The sequence below is a fragment of the Homo sapiens genome, chromosome 10, assembly GCF_000001405.40.
Source record: "Homo sapiens chromosome 10, GRCh38.p14 Primary Assembly".
Taxonomy (NCBI): Eukaryota; Metazoa; Chordata; class Mammalia; order Primates; family Hominidae; genus Homo; species Homo sapiens.
This window is the reverse complement of record NC_000010.11, coordinates 25,564,151-25,578,382: the sequence shown is the minus strand read 5'-3', so window position 1 is coordinate 25,578,382 and position 14,232 is coordinate 25,564,151. Positions and strand designations below refer to the sequence as shown.

The following is a 14,232-nucleotide window of genomic DNA, read 5'->3' as shown; positions in this document are numbered from 1 at the left end:
AGTCTGACAACAGAAAATATCACAAGATAAAGACAGCTGACTGCTTTGTTCTTTCAACAAATATTTTTCAAGATCCTACACCTGGCAGGTTCTCTGTCGGTGTCAGGGATAAGTCTGAACAACGTAGGCCATGTTGCTGAGGAGCACGTAGCTACAAGAGGGAGGAGCAGATGGAAAGATTCTTTTGTCTTCAGTGAGCTACAGAAAATATATTTAAACGTACTCAGAAAAGTTCAGGGTACTGAGTCATATAATGATGAGTAGTGTAAGTACCATAGTATGTATTGTTATTATAGATGTAGATGATTCTCAAAAAGGTATGGCAGTTTAAATGTTTATAGGAATTATAATCTGATCTAAAAATGTCTTGGAACATCCACATTTTAAAACTCTTTCCACCAGATGAAAAAGTCATTTGTTAAGAAAAACTGACTACTCTGCCTGAAAAGCACTTCTCACATTGTCCAGTGTCCATGTAGCAATGTCTTTATCCTTATTTTTTCCATTAAATCTTACCTTATTTTTTTATACACAGGACTAACAAAATGATTGAAAATTATAAACGGACATAAATGACAATGTGATTCTGAAAACCATTTTCCCCCTTCTATGTTTTAAAATCATTTCTTCAAAGAAGAAACTGTGGCTCTTTTAGGTTCTGAGATTTTTCCAACCTATTTTCTATACGTGTTTTCTCTTTTGAAACACTTGTGTTAGGAAAATCATCTATCTGAGCAGTTTTGGAGCAGCCCTGTGCAATGAGCAAAAATAGAATGAGCCCGGTCTTTCAATGTATGACCCATATTTCTAGCCAGAGCTCTACTTCAGTGGAAAAACTAGTATTTCACTCTCTCAAATGATTTATTTTGAAAAAGGGATTGTTTTTGACGGGTAAAGCTGATCCCAGAATGCAAATGTACTAACATATTTAACCATCACTTTTTCTTTTTTTCTGAACGAACTCTTGACACTAATGTAAGTGCACACAGCTTCTTGAGAAAGTCTTCCCACCACCCTCACGGTTAAGCCTATTGCCTCCCTCTCTACAGTCCCTTCCTATATGGGAACATTACCTCTTAGGATCCAGGAAATAATTTAGTGTTCAGTACAGGTTTTCTAGCTGACTGAAGATATGTGGATTTATTTTTGATTAACAGTCTGAGTATCAAAAACATGTTACTTATAGAGCTCTATAAAGAGACTGTAAAAAGGCACACACTACACGTTAGAAACCATTAAATTAAGAGGTTAAATATTGATGCTGCATGCTGAAAGAGAAATAAATGAAAACTTTTATTAGGATAGTGTGAAAAATAATTACAACAGCCACATGTCTCAGATGTCTTAAGACAGTCCTAATTCCAAATATTATTTTTTAAAATTATGTGCCCTGACTTTTTTTTTTTTTTTTTGAGAACACTGTCACTATGGGATGAGCACACTTTGGGAATTAAGGTGTTACAGTAGTTTATAGGACAAAAGCAATGACTGTGAGATGACAAAAACACCATCAAAAATTTAACTTCCTCTTCTTGGTCCCTGCACTCTCATCACGAGTCTTGATTTTCTAAGAGACCCTAATGTTATTGCCTAACACCTTTAGGGGTATTAGTTTAATTTCTGCTTCTTAAGTTTTGATACTTCTCATTCCTGAAGCCATGACCTAGATCCTACCACTATAATCAATCTCTTCTCTTAGCTTCTCTGTACCTCTTTAACTGAGACCTGGTTATTGCCTAAGGAACCGCATGCCCTGCAGCCATCTCACGCTATGAATCTTCATTTTCTTTTGCACTATCTATCTCAGGGTCGTCATTACTCTCTATGTCCTCTTTCCCAGTATTATTCAAAATTAATGTCTTTTAAAAATGCCCATTTTCTTTTCATAGTTCCATTACTGCAAGTGGAAAAATGTGCTGCCTGGTAAGTAAGTTTTCTCTCTGGAGGAGAGCAGAATTTAGGAGGAGTAAAGTACAATGAAAACAGTCTATGTTACTAAAGAGCTATTGTAGAGGGAGTAAATGAGCTAGGAATGGGTTGTGATCAGAAAGGAGTTCTTCATAATTCAGGAATGAAAAACCGAATCCCGTACATCGTCATTTATAAGTGGGAGGTGAGCTATGGGCACACAAAGGCATACAGAGTGGTATAATGGACACTGGAGACTCAGAAGGGGTTAGGGGATAAGGGATAAAATACTACAGACTGGGTACAATGTACACTCCCTTGGGTGACAGGTGCAATAAAACTTCAGATTTCACCAGTATACAATTCATCCACGTGACCAAAACCACCTGTACCCCAAAAGCTACTGGAAAAAAAAAACAACAACAGAATTCTTCAATGTCTTCAATGAATGACTTTGGAGGTAGGGGAGTTTTAGATAACAGAAAGTTCATATAAAGTGAGAGTGGCCACTGGAGATGAGGGGCCCAAAATGTTAGATGAGTCTGGCACAGGTTGTGGTGTTACCTTAGATAATATGAAGGAGAAAAGATAAGAATAAATGTGGATATGGGAAGATTTATAGATATGAAGGCAGGAATTTGAAGACATTTCTACGTTATGGCTCCTGTTTATTTTTTTTCAAGTAGAAGTCATCTAAGAGAAAAGGGAAACATGGAGAGTTTGGAGGTATGAAAAGAGGATTTGAAATAATAATTGAAAACAATGTTCTAGTGTTTGATCGGGGAACAGTAAGAATGAATGGAATGGCCAGGGCACTATTGAGATTAGTTATTTTTATGTTCTCATAAGTTCATCTGACTCCCTCCGTGGAGTCAGCAGTTCTGTACTTTAGAGTAATATGAGAATCACCTGGAACACTTACGAAACACAGATTGCTGAGCTCCACTATCCGGGAGTGTCTGATTGAGGAAGTCAGAGTGAGCTCTGAGAATCTGCATTTCTAACAAGTCCCCAGGTGATGCCGCTGCTGCGGGTTCTGGGACCACACTTTGAGAGCCGCTCTTTCTCCCTTCTAATGATTCCAACTCCCAAACCCCTGAATTTGGTGAGTTTGGTGCATTTCACTTAAAAAAACAAAAAAACCAAAATACATCCTTATAGTCATCTTGATTGAATTTACCGATTCATTATATCACTTTTCTGCTTCTCTAAATTCCTCTAAGACTTTTTCAATAAACTTAACCATACAGTATTATTAACAGTATACTTAATAAACTCACAATATACTCAACCACCTAGCATTACTCACAATGTATTCCATCATTATCTTATTTTCTAGGTAGGCATTTCCTCCATGTTTCATACAATTTCCACCCACTTCCATCCTTCACTATTTTTTTTTTTTTTTGAGATGGAGTCTCGCTCTGTTGCCCAGACTGTAGTGTAGTGGTGTGATCTCAGCTCACTGCAATCTCCACCTTCCAGGTTCAAGCAATTCTCACACCTCAGCCTCTAGAGTAGCTGGAATTACAGGTGTGAGCCACTGCCCCTGGCCCATCCTTCACTATTTTTTTTGTTTTTTATTTCTTTGAGACAAAGTCTCACTCTGTCTCCCAGGCTGGAGTGCAGTGGCATGATCTCGGCTTACTGCGACCTCCGCCTCTTGGGTTCAAGCGATTCTTCTGCCTCAGCCTCCCAAGTAGCTGGGATTATAGGAGTGTACCACCATGTCTGGCTAATTTTTGTATTTTTAGTAGAGACGGTGTTTCACCATGTTGGTCAGGCTGGTCTCAAACTTCTGACCTTGTGATTCACCCACCTCGGCCTCCCAAAGTGCTGGGATTACAGGCGTGAGTCACCACGCCCAGACCTTCACTGTTCTTATAAAATGAATGTTCTTTACACCTCTTTACAGTAATATAAACATTACCCATGGTTAAAGAACTTGTCCTTTATAAAAGGTTCCTGAGTTCTGGTCCAAACTGCTTATCCTTTTACTAAACTACTACTGCACCAAGAATCTTCACCACCTAACTTTGCTTTTTAATAACTTTTAATAATTCTCATGCATCTATGTGAATCAATAATAAGCTATCTAATGAAAGGAATAATGACTTTATACAGGTTACTATCGATTATATAATTCTATATATTTCTACATAGAAATCACAAATATGATCCTCTTTGGAATGCAAAATAAATTTTTTAAAGGTCTCAAATGCATCTCAATTCCAATGCATAAAAACTTTCTTGGTGAATAGGCCATGCTATCTGCTTGTTTGTGTCATCATGTATTTTGAGGTTTTTTTTTTTTTTTTTTTTTTTTTTGTAAAACAGAAAAATAAAAACTAGTGGCCTTTGCTTCATAAGAATACAAGGAAATGATTTTTCCTATCTGGTTAACCTGCACTGAGAGCATAAAATAATGTCAGGGTGAGTAGAAATTTTTTATCTATACAATTTAATTTTCATATCCAGACTAAAGTCAAGATCAGAGTCGCTTCCTACCTTAGTGCTGTGATTTATCTTCTGTTATATTACCCAAAATATAATAAGCTTTATATTATAATCATTCCCTTTACATACCCATATGCTTCACTATTACAGATATCAGGTTTATAAGACTCCTGAAATATCCTGCCCAGAAAAATATTCCTCCATTTGAACTCTAAACTAAATACACATTTTATTAGCTTCCAGCAAAAGACTATTTAGCCAACAACTGCAAAATATGAGGGAGACAAAAAATGGGAATCAAACTCATGTTTCTATCTTTTATATCTGCCAAATACAATTAAGGTTTGTCCTGTGGCTTACTGAGGGGAACAATAAAATATCCCTTTTGTTGTATGTTTAGGGACGTAGTTTAAAATAGACTAATATGAGCAACAGAAAAATTCCTATGTGTTTTCCTCCTTTTTTCAAAACACTGGGCTGCCAGAAAAATAATCCGTGTTTTGGGCCCAAGCCATGATGCAGCTCTTCAAAGTTCTCCAGGTTCTCAGCCACGTAGCACTTACTACACTCATGGAGCATGGCTTAGTCTTTGTGTAATTCTAAACCTCCAGAGAATTATAAATAAGTTGTCTTTTGAGGTCAGCAAAGGAAAGATAGATTAATCAGAAATTTTGCAGAGACAATATTTTTACAAAGACTGCCCTACATATCAAGTCTGATACATTATAGGGCCAACATTTTATTTAAAAAACCAGCGTGCTTCCTTTTTTCTCCCAAGTAAGGAAATAAATCAAGAGAATAGCCAATATTAATCAAATGGGGAGCAATTGATAAGAATGAGAAAAGTAAGCTCTTTATACACAGAAGTTGCCATTGTTCGTTTCTCCTTTCTGATTTATTTGATTACATTTTATCAACAAAGCTATATACCTTTGAAAAACAATAGAAACTTCCAGAAAAAGTTTGCATCTCACATGCCATTACTGCCATTTCCATGTTATCTTACCAGAATCACATTAGGTGAGATTAGTTTAGGCTTTACTAAAGAGTCTGGCAAGACTTTTAAAGAAGTCAGTTGTAATGCTACTGAAAAATGGTAAGACCATCATACGAAACAAGTGACCACATACCAACTGCTGTCATGTAGTCCCAGCGGTCAATGAGGCACATATTGAAGATGAGGTGATCGGATGTTTTCCCCTGGCCAATAAGTGAAATCTGTTTCTCCAAATTCTGGCACACAGATGAAGTCCAGCCAATGAGAAACCAAAACACTACCAAGAGTATTACTGCCAGCATCCTCATGACCCGTCCGCCAGTCATATATGGAATTCGTTGAGCCGTTCGTGAAAGAAACACCTTCAAAACCCTAGAAAAGCAAAAGTTCAAATGTGAAAGCAAACCTAACATTCAGAAAGTATAACTCTAAAATAACTTATTTTTCTAGGTAAAATGTAAACCCACCAAAATCCAGCTAATCAGAGTTTGCTTTGTTTTGTATTTGTTTTTGTTGTAGAGACAGGGTCTCGCTATGTTGCCCATGCTGGAGTGCAGTGGCTATTCACAAGCACAATCATAGTGTACTGCATCCTTGAACTCCTGGCTCAAGCATTCCTCTCGCCTCAGCCTTCCAAGTAGCTGAGACTCCAGGCACGTGCCACTGTGCCTGGCTTATGCAGAGTTTTAACATGAGAAAATTCAGAAACAGTATTGCTCATATTTTTATTTAATTTTATCTTAGTTTATCTTCCAGTAGTAAAACACATATCTTACATTAGAGTCCATTGAGTCAATAGGTTCATATACAATGGGATGTCTTTGAGCGTGTCTTAATATTTCAAGGAAAATTCTCAGGACTTTAGAAAGATCCGTAGGCAAACATTGCTCAAACAAGGTTTCTGGGGGATCAAAAAATAGTCCTGAAAGTAAGTGGTTGTATTTTACAATATTATACTAACTCAAATAACTTCCTTGAACCAGTTGTTTTTATAGTAGAATGTTATTAAAGATATTTTCTGAAAATCATTTCATATTACCTACTTTCATGGTCATTTTATCATATTACCAAAAATAATATGAAGTAATAATAAAAATGAAAGAAATATTTAAACATTTGGTAGACTAAGGCCATTGCATTAAGGAAGAAAATTGGGATGACCTATAGGAAATGTGATTTTTAAAAACTAAGAGTTTTTTCTGTATATATCTCAGATGAATAGCCAGAGTTGAGAACTACTAGATTAGATGATATCTAAGCACTGTTCTATCTCTAAATATTTTCTGAAGACAAAATGCACCCTTACTATAGGAATTCTCTACCCATTCTTCAATTTCATTTCTAGAATATTCTCGGCTGATTTTAACTCCCTATCCCATTCTGATATTTGATGTCACAAAATTATGATTTGACATAAGCCACCATGAGTGGTTTATGATACTGTGAGAGTATCTGTAATCAATTTCCATAAAGCATAAAAATAAACACATTTTCTCAATGTTCTATTCTCTCCTTCACTTCATTCTTTGAATAATTTTAAGTCATATGAATTTTTTATAAAGATTATTCTAAATCCAGAAATGAAGCCAATACACCTGAAATAGCCTAGATGTACTATGCTATATTTTTCCTCCATATATAGACCTTTGGCAATTCTCCCTGAATTAACACAACACATCCATTAAATTAACCCCACTGTCCTTCAGGACAGAGGGAAAAGTTATTTAATTATTAACAAAATACTTCTCAATTTTTCTGTGGAACGTCAGAAATATAGTAACAGATACAAGTAAAACAGAAGATCTCTTAACCACGCTCCATCTCATCAGTTCCCCAGATTAACAGTTACTCTCCATTCTGTATATGCAATATATTAAGTGCCATCCATGTCATAGTGAACGCTAACACTGGCGAACGCTAACACTGGCAGGTAATATCTTCACTATGCCTAATCACTTCTGCTCCAACCAGTTTAATTACTATTTGTTATGAATCAGGTGTATTTGTTCCCAAATTATGCCCACTGTTATAACTAAATATTAAATAAAATAATTATACATGATTATGAAACAAAAGGAGACTACTCTATTTTATTTTTTTTAAGATGGAGTCTCACTTTGTCACCCAGGCTGGAATGCAGTGGCGTGATCTCAGCTAACTGCAACCTCCACCTCCTGGGTTCAAGCGATTATTCTCCTGCCTCAGCCTCCCAAGTAGGTGGGACTACAGGCATGTGCCACCATGCCTGGCTAATTTTTATATTTTTTTAGTAGAAACGGGGTTTCACCATGTTGGCCAGGCTGGTCTTGAACTCCTGACCTCAGGTGATCTGCCCGCCTCGGCCTCCCAAAGTGCTGGGATTATTACAGGCGAGAGCCACCGTGCCCACGCAAGGAGACTTATTTCTATGAAACCTCTCTTGAATGCTTTGGAAAGATAAAACATTAAAATAAAAAGCTAACTTAGTGGAAGTGAAGAAATTTTAAAATAGAGAGTGGTCAATAAACAAAAACCTAGAAAAATTCGACACTCAGATTACTTCAAAAACATTTAACACAATGCAGTAGATAATACATTTTGGTGATTTATGCTATAGAGAGAACAATGAACTCTAACTATCAAACCCATAGTCAAAAAGAGGCCTTATTTCAAAAAGACTGGTGAGTAATTATTTGTGTTTTAAATTACAGTATCTATATACTTTTTAAATGCTTTTCTACTTTAAAAAACTTCAACAAATTGACCAAATATAATATGAAGTCCAGTTATATTGGATAAGAAGGTTTCCATTGTAATTAGCAGATTAAAAGATTCAAGAATTCTACCTTAGAAATAAGAGAAATTTCTTGGAAAATTAATATTTTTGCCAGTTCCAATCTTATTTTCTGTAGCAGAAAGTTGTAATCATAATGTACACATATTTGTTTCTGGTTGAACCTGGATGAATTCTAAATTTTGAATGACTACATTCTCCAGAGAGAACCTGACCCACTTTTCTTCCATAGTTTGGCAAGGGCAGAAAAACATAAAATGGTTCCAAATTCTAGCTTTACTCTTAATGTAAACATTTTAAATATAACGAACAAACATTTATATAGTGACAGCCATATGTTAGGCATCATGCTAGGCAATGTGGAAGGTATAAGATATAATTTTTTTCTCTAGAAACTTACAATTTAACTAGAAGTAAGTTTGCAAATAGCTACCATATGCAGTAGCTAACATTATATATTGTATGTGGCTAGCAAATCTACTAACCCAATAGAACAGGTAGTATTTGATCTGGGCTTTGGGGGATATCAATAGGTAGAAATGAAGGAAAGTGGAAAAGATATAAGGGGATATTCTAATTGATGGGAATCAAAAGCAGGGAAATGCAAGGTGTCTTTAGGTAGGGACAGTAGGGGGAACTGGTTGGCAGGAAGCAAAGTTTGGTTCTCAATACCCAGCAACTCCTAGGGAGTTTTCAAGTTAAGGCAAGGAGTTTTCATCAGGTTGAGAAACAGTGCTTCAGAGAAAAAATAGTTATGAACTATATATTCTTTCCATGGTTAAAATGTGATAAATATTTTTTTTGATACTTGAGTTTCACAATTCCCATTGAAACTTTAAATCTCATAGAGAGCTAATAGTGGATTTGTTAACTGTCTCCTTTAAAATACTTCTTAACCAGTTAAGTTTTTTCTTTTGCAAAGGAAATCTACGATTCCAGTTACAGTAACCTTTTACTCAAGAAATCCCATTTCCAAATTATCAAAAATGTTCATGTTTTCTAGATGGCCCTTTGGGTATTTATTGTATAGCTTGAGAATTCAAGATTGTCAGATCCCTATAATCTCATTTCAAGAGAGCAAAACCAAAGCAAAATCCCTCATGAGTCTTCCATTATTGATTTTACTGGCTTTCAAATAATAGAAAACATAATAAACACAACTCTACACTTCAATCTAAGCATTTCAGGATATTGGTTTTTGTAAAATGGAATAAGATGTATTTTTCTAGGATTGTCTTAAAAGAAGCCTAGAGGTCAGACTATAAAAAAGAATATGTAGACATGCATTTGTATGAAATACAACTGTAGAAAAAAATTCAAATCATTGGACTTCCTATATGGATGACTTTTCCACTATTTTTTCATAGATAAGTCTTCAGGAGACCATGAGTTCAGAATGTTTCACTATTTCTGAAGGAAAGCCCAACATATATGGGAAGACTGCAAGAAACTTCCAAAATTTCATATGAAAAGGCATATATAAAGTGTACATTCAATTTTCATTAATAGCAGATAAATTCATGGAAATCATTCTGAAATGACAAAGAAAAAGGACAACCCAGAAATTGTCATTATATTCATCTGCCTCTGTTTTCTAATTTTCTGTACATTTCTGGTTCAAGCTATATAGCTCACCATAAGAACTTGTACTTGGGTTATCCATGACCTTCCTCCAAGAGCTAATTGATATTGTTCACTTCTTATTTTACATGGTCTCTCCCCAGCTTTTGGTGTGGCTGGAACCTTCAGCTTCCATGATGTCACATTCTCTTGGTTTTCTTCCTAGTTCTCTCTTCCTACTTCCTTCCTACTTCTCTCTTCCTACTTTCTTCCTACTTCTTGGCTAGCTCCTTTTCAGTCTCTATTGCAGACTTCTCTACCTCAGTCTGTCCCTTGAATGGCAGTGTTTACAAGGATCTCCTAAATGTGGCCATGTTATATTATCACTACATATTGCACCCAAGAAACTCCAACGGCTCCCCATCTCAGTTATCTATATGCCAGCAAGTCCCACCTCTATATCTCCAGTTCAGATCACTCTCCTGAGTTCAGTCCCTGTATACTCAGTGTCTTACTGGACATCAGCAGGGCCTGAAACAAAATCACCCCCTCTCCATTCCTTCCTTCTCCAACCCACTTTGCTGTTCTCCAACCTACCTTTGCTGTTGTGTTACAGCCCTATCTAACTGTACAAAGCAGAAGCTTAGGAATAAACTTTGATTTTTCTCCCTTATCCACATTCCAGCAATCAAATGAATCATTAAGAATTTAATGTCTACCTCTTAAATATCTTTCAAATTCTTCTATTTTTCTCCATCCTCACTGCCACTATACAGCTCCTGGCCACCAACTCATTCCTATAGTAGCTTCCTAGCTAGTCACCTTACTGGTCTTGCCCACCTTCAATCCACACCCTACGATGGACAACATGGTCTTTCACTATTGTGCATCTGATCGTATTGCTTCCCTGTTTACAATCACTGGCTCTCCACCAAAATTTAGTATGGTAAAACACTTCTAATAATTGGTTCCTCCTCACCTCTGCAGGTGCATCTCTCTGCACTCTCTACATCCTATAGTTCTGCAGGTCCCTCTGGATGACATGCAGTTATCCTCTATCTAAGCCTTTGCCCTCAGCTTTCCTCACCATCCCTCCTCCCACCTATACAAACACAGTGTTTTGCTAAATCCTACATCTCCTTCATGTCTCCGTTTAGATGTTACTTGCCATCGACACCAGCACTTACCAAACAAGTAGCATCAATTTTACCCAGAAACTTGTTATGAATGAGAACTCTTAGATCCCACCCAGACCTACTGACTCTGAAACTCTGGAGGGATGGTCCAACAATCTATTTTAACAAACTTTTCAGGTAATTTTGATGAAGGGTAAAGTTTGAGAACCGCTGCTCTAAACAGTTTTTCCTAGCAGATCTAAGATTGGTGCAGGTGCCTTTCCAATAGGCTGACCGCTTTAGCCTGCCAGGTAGATTTTTCCGTTTTTATTATGCCGATGACAGAATGCAAGGCTTCTAATAATAGCTTTCCATTTTCAGAACATTTGCATTTGTATGTGATTTTGCAGTATCTCTTCTATTTATAAAAAAAGGAATGAAAATATATATCCTCAAGCCATCCAGTCTTCTGTCCTATTACCTTAATTGGAATAATCCTAATGTCCTGAGCTTCTTCTTTAGAGTCTAATTTCTATTAATCTTACCATGTTCGTAGAAATTCCAGAGAATAAATGTTTGTGATAAAAGGTATGAGGTGACACTTCTCGTAAGAGTAAAGCCAATCAATTATTGACAAAAGAGTCCTGAGAGCTAACAATTCAAAAAGTGCTGGAGGTTTCTGTCATTCTGCTATTAATGGTGACAAATCCCATGTTCATTAAACTTTTCATCAATTTCTCAAAGTTTCATTTTCAGAAGTAAAGTAAAGTTACTTCTTGGTCAGTGGATGAATTTTAGATAAACACCTAAAAAGACTGGCATCACTGGCATAGAAATAGGTTTTAGACACTTATCAGACATGAAGTTCTACAAGTTTATTGTGAGTATATTAAGTTATTGCTATTTCAAGAAAGAAAATTCACAACTGGGTTCTAAATATATTGACTAATTTTTGTCAGTTTCTGTGAGCTGCATGAGTTCTCATATCTCACATTGTTTTTCCTTTTTTCTCACCTTCCTTTTTTCTCTAATTGAAGGTAGACGGAATAAGGAAGAATAATGAAAAAAGGAAGGAAGGAAAGAAGGGCTGCAAGACTATTAAAGTAGAATCTTAGATGGTTATGAGAGGAGGGGCCAGCTGGGCTTCCTGGGTTGAGTAGGGGCTCAGAAAGCTGTGAAACTCACTCATTTCCTGCATCAGGACTTACTTCGGTCCGGGATGAATAATATTGAAGATATATGCTTAAAATATTCCTAACACCAGGATCTGTGTATGTGGTTTTCTTCCCCAAGAAAGCTATAAACAGAGAAAATTTTGCTGTAAGCTTCCCTGTGTCCTCTCTCCCTTACCTTCCCCCAAAACTAAAAGGAATGTTAACTGCCCATTTTTCTGTGACCAGCAGAACTTATCTATGCTCCCAATTCCAATTCCTTGTAAACATACTTTATAAAGTCCTGTAAGATCCTGTCTCCTTTGCCATGCCACTGCAGGGTTATAAAGTAGATAAAACCTAAGTTGCAATTCCGGTTTTCCTCAAAATCTAAGACATGTCACAAAATAATTTACTGCCTTTGTTTCTCGCTCTAGTAACATCTTCCCGCCACACATATTTCTGGCCTTAAGGAGTTTAAAAGGCAATTGTATAATCTAACTCTGGCTACCCATTCGAGACCCCTTCCACACTGTGGAAGCTTTGTACTTTCACTTGGCTCAATAAAGCCTACAGCTTTTTCTTGCCCTCGGTCCCCTGTCTCTATCACTCACCACGGTCAGCCGCCACACCAGTTCTTTGGCGTGGCTAGGCAAGAACCTTAAGCGTTAACAGTTAGAGCTGAAATGCCTCTCGGCATGATCTGTTCTAATCCCCCTAATGTGTAAAAGACAATTCTGAGGCCCAGTGAGGGGAGTCATTTATCTAAAGCAAAACAGTCAGTAGCAAAATCATCTCAAAACTCCTATCTTCTTACTCTCATGTGAGTACTTTTTTCAGTTACAGTATTTTACTAAAATAGAACTATCTAGCAGCTGGTTCAGGGCCATATCATCTTTTAAAAGCACAACAGGAATCTGCCTTTCAAACATGCCACAATCCCTCTACTTTCCTATATGCTCTTTTCTCTCTAATCTGGATGCTCGTACCTTTGAATGCCATGCCGTCTGTCTAAACTGATTCAAATCCCATTTATCCTTGTACATTCATCTCAGGAACCTCATCCAATTTACATCTTTGTCTGATAGTCCCAGGCCACAAAATTTTCTCCAATTATCACTATTATTCAGTTGGTATTTCCTGTACCCTTATAAATCTTCCTGAAGTTGGGAGATGTTTATTTTCTAAGCCCCTACAGAATCTAGCACATGAAGGCAAGAAGATTTAATTGACCAATTAGTTAAACATGTCCTTCTGACGGTTATGACCAACAAGAAAAAGTTTTATGGTTGATACAGCATCCCAGAAACTCGAAGAAGCAGGGTAAAATGGAATTTGGAAGAATTTTGATAACAATATAGGATGTGAGAGTAAACATTAGCTCCTGTTATGTGTCAGTATTTTCCTAAATCAGAGGTTCAGTGCTGAAAATGGCAGTTATCTACCTGTTTTCATGTTCATTATAACTCAGTAAATACAAATGAATAGGCAATTTAAATACAATCTCAAAAATGATGGAATAGGGAACTTCAAAAGTCTATCAGTCCATAAAAGCAATCAACACACTAGCAAGAACTGTTAGAGTCAACTTTTTTGGAATTCTAGAAACTACTTAGGAGCTTATAGAAATGAAGGGGATACTTAAGAGAGAAAAAACAAAAACAGCTGAATCTGAGTAAAAAAGCTATGCAGCATTTCAACTTTCTTTGATTCCGTCTCATGCTCCTGAGCTCAATGGCGGCCTTCAAGACATCTGCATGCTCAGGACACGTACCTAGTACTAGAGGAGCACAATGGACCTTATTTTCAAAGAACTGCTGTTTATTTTGGCCTGGTTGGTGGATCCCTGAAAGACTGACTCAAAGGGCTTGCTTTTGTTTTACCCAACTGCTAATTTTCCTAGGGCTGACAAAGCTAACGGGTGTCATTTATCTAAAAGTTTAAAGGCAAGTGGATTAGTCAATGCTACCCGGGACAATGAATAATGGTTAAGACAAACAATCGACTAAACAAAAAGATTGGGAAGAAAGAATGGGAAATGAGATGATCTGGGGAATAAGAGCATTGAAAAGTACCAATATATTTCTGGGAATCTAGAAGCCTGGAACATTCTCACAAAAGGCCTGAGAAGGGCCCAAAGCTCTCATCTCCTGCCGACCTCAGGCTCTGCACATGCAGGAAATAGAGGCTCATGTGTGTTGATGACATACCCAACACACAAACATGCAGTTCATCTGCAAAGAATTCAGATTTTAAAAAGTATTTTTTGGT

The 14,232-nt window shown here is 36.8% G+C and overlaps 1 protein-coding gene across 3 annotated transcripts in view; it reads right to left on the bottom strand.

The window, feature by feature from the left end:
- Positions 1-14,232, bottom strand: part of GPR158 (G protein-coupled receptor 158) — a 427,229-nt gene that overhangs the window by 23,847 nt on the left and 389,150 nt on the right. For all 3 annotated transcript variants that reach the window (XR_930512.4, NM_020752.3, XM_017016452.3), the window contains one exon: positions 5,496-5,734. Coding sequence is in view for 2 of the 3 variants with exons in the window: in NM_020752.3 (NP_065803.2) it covers positions 5,496-5,734 (239 nt within the window). In the remaining variant the exon portion in view is untranslated. The remainder of the gene's footprint in view (positions 1-5,495; positions 5,735-14,232) is intronic.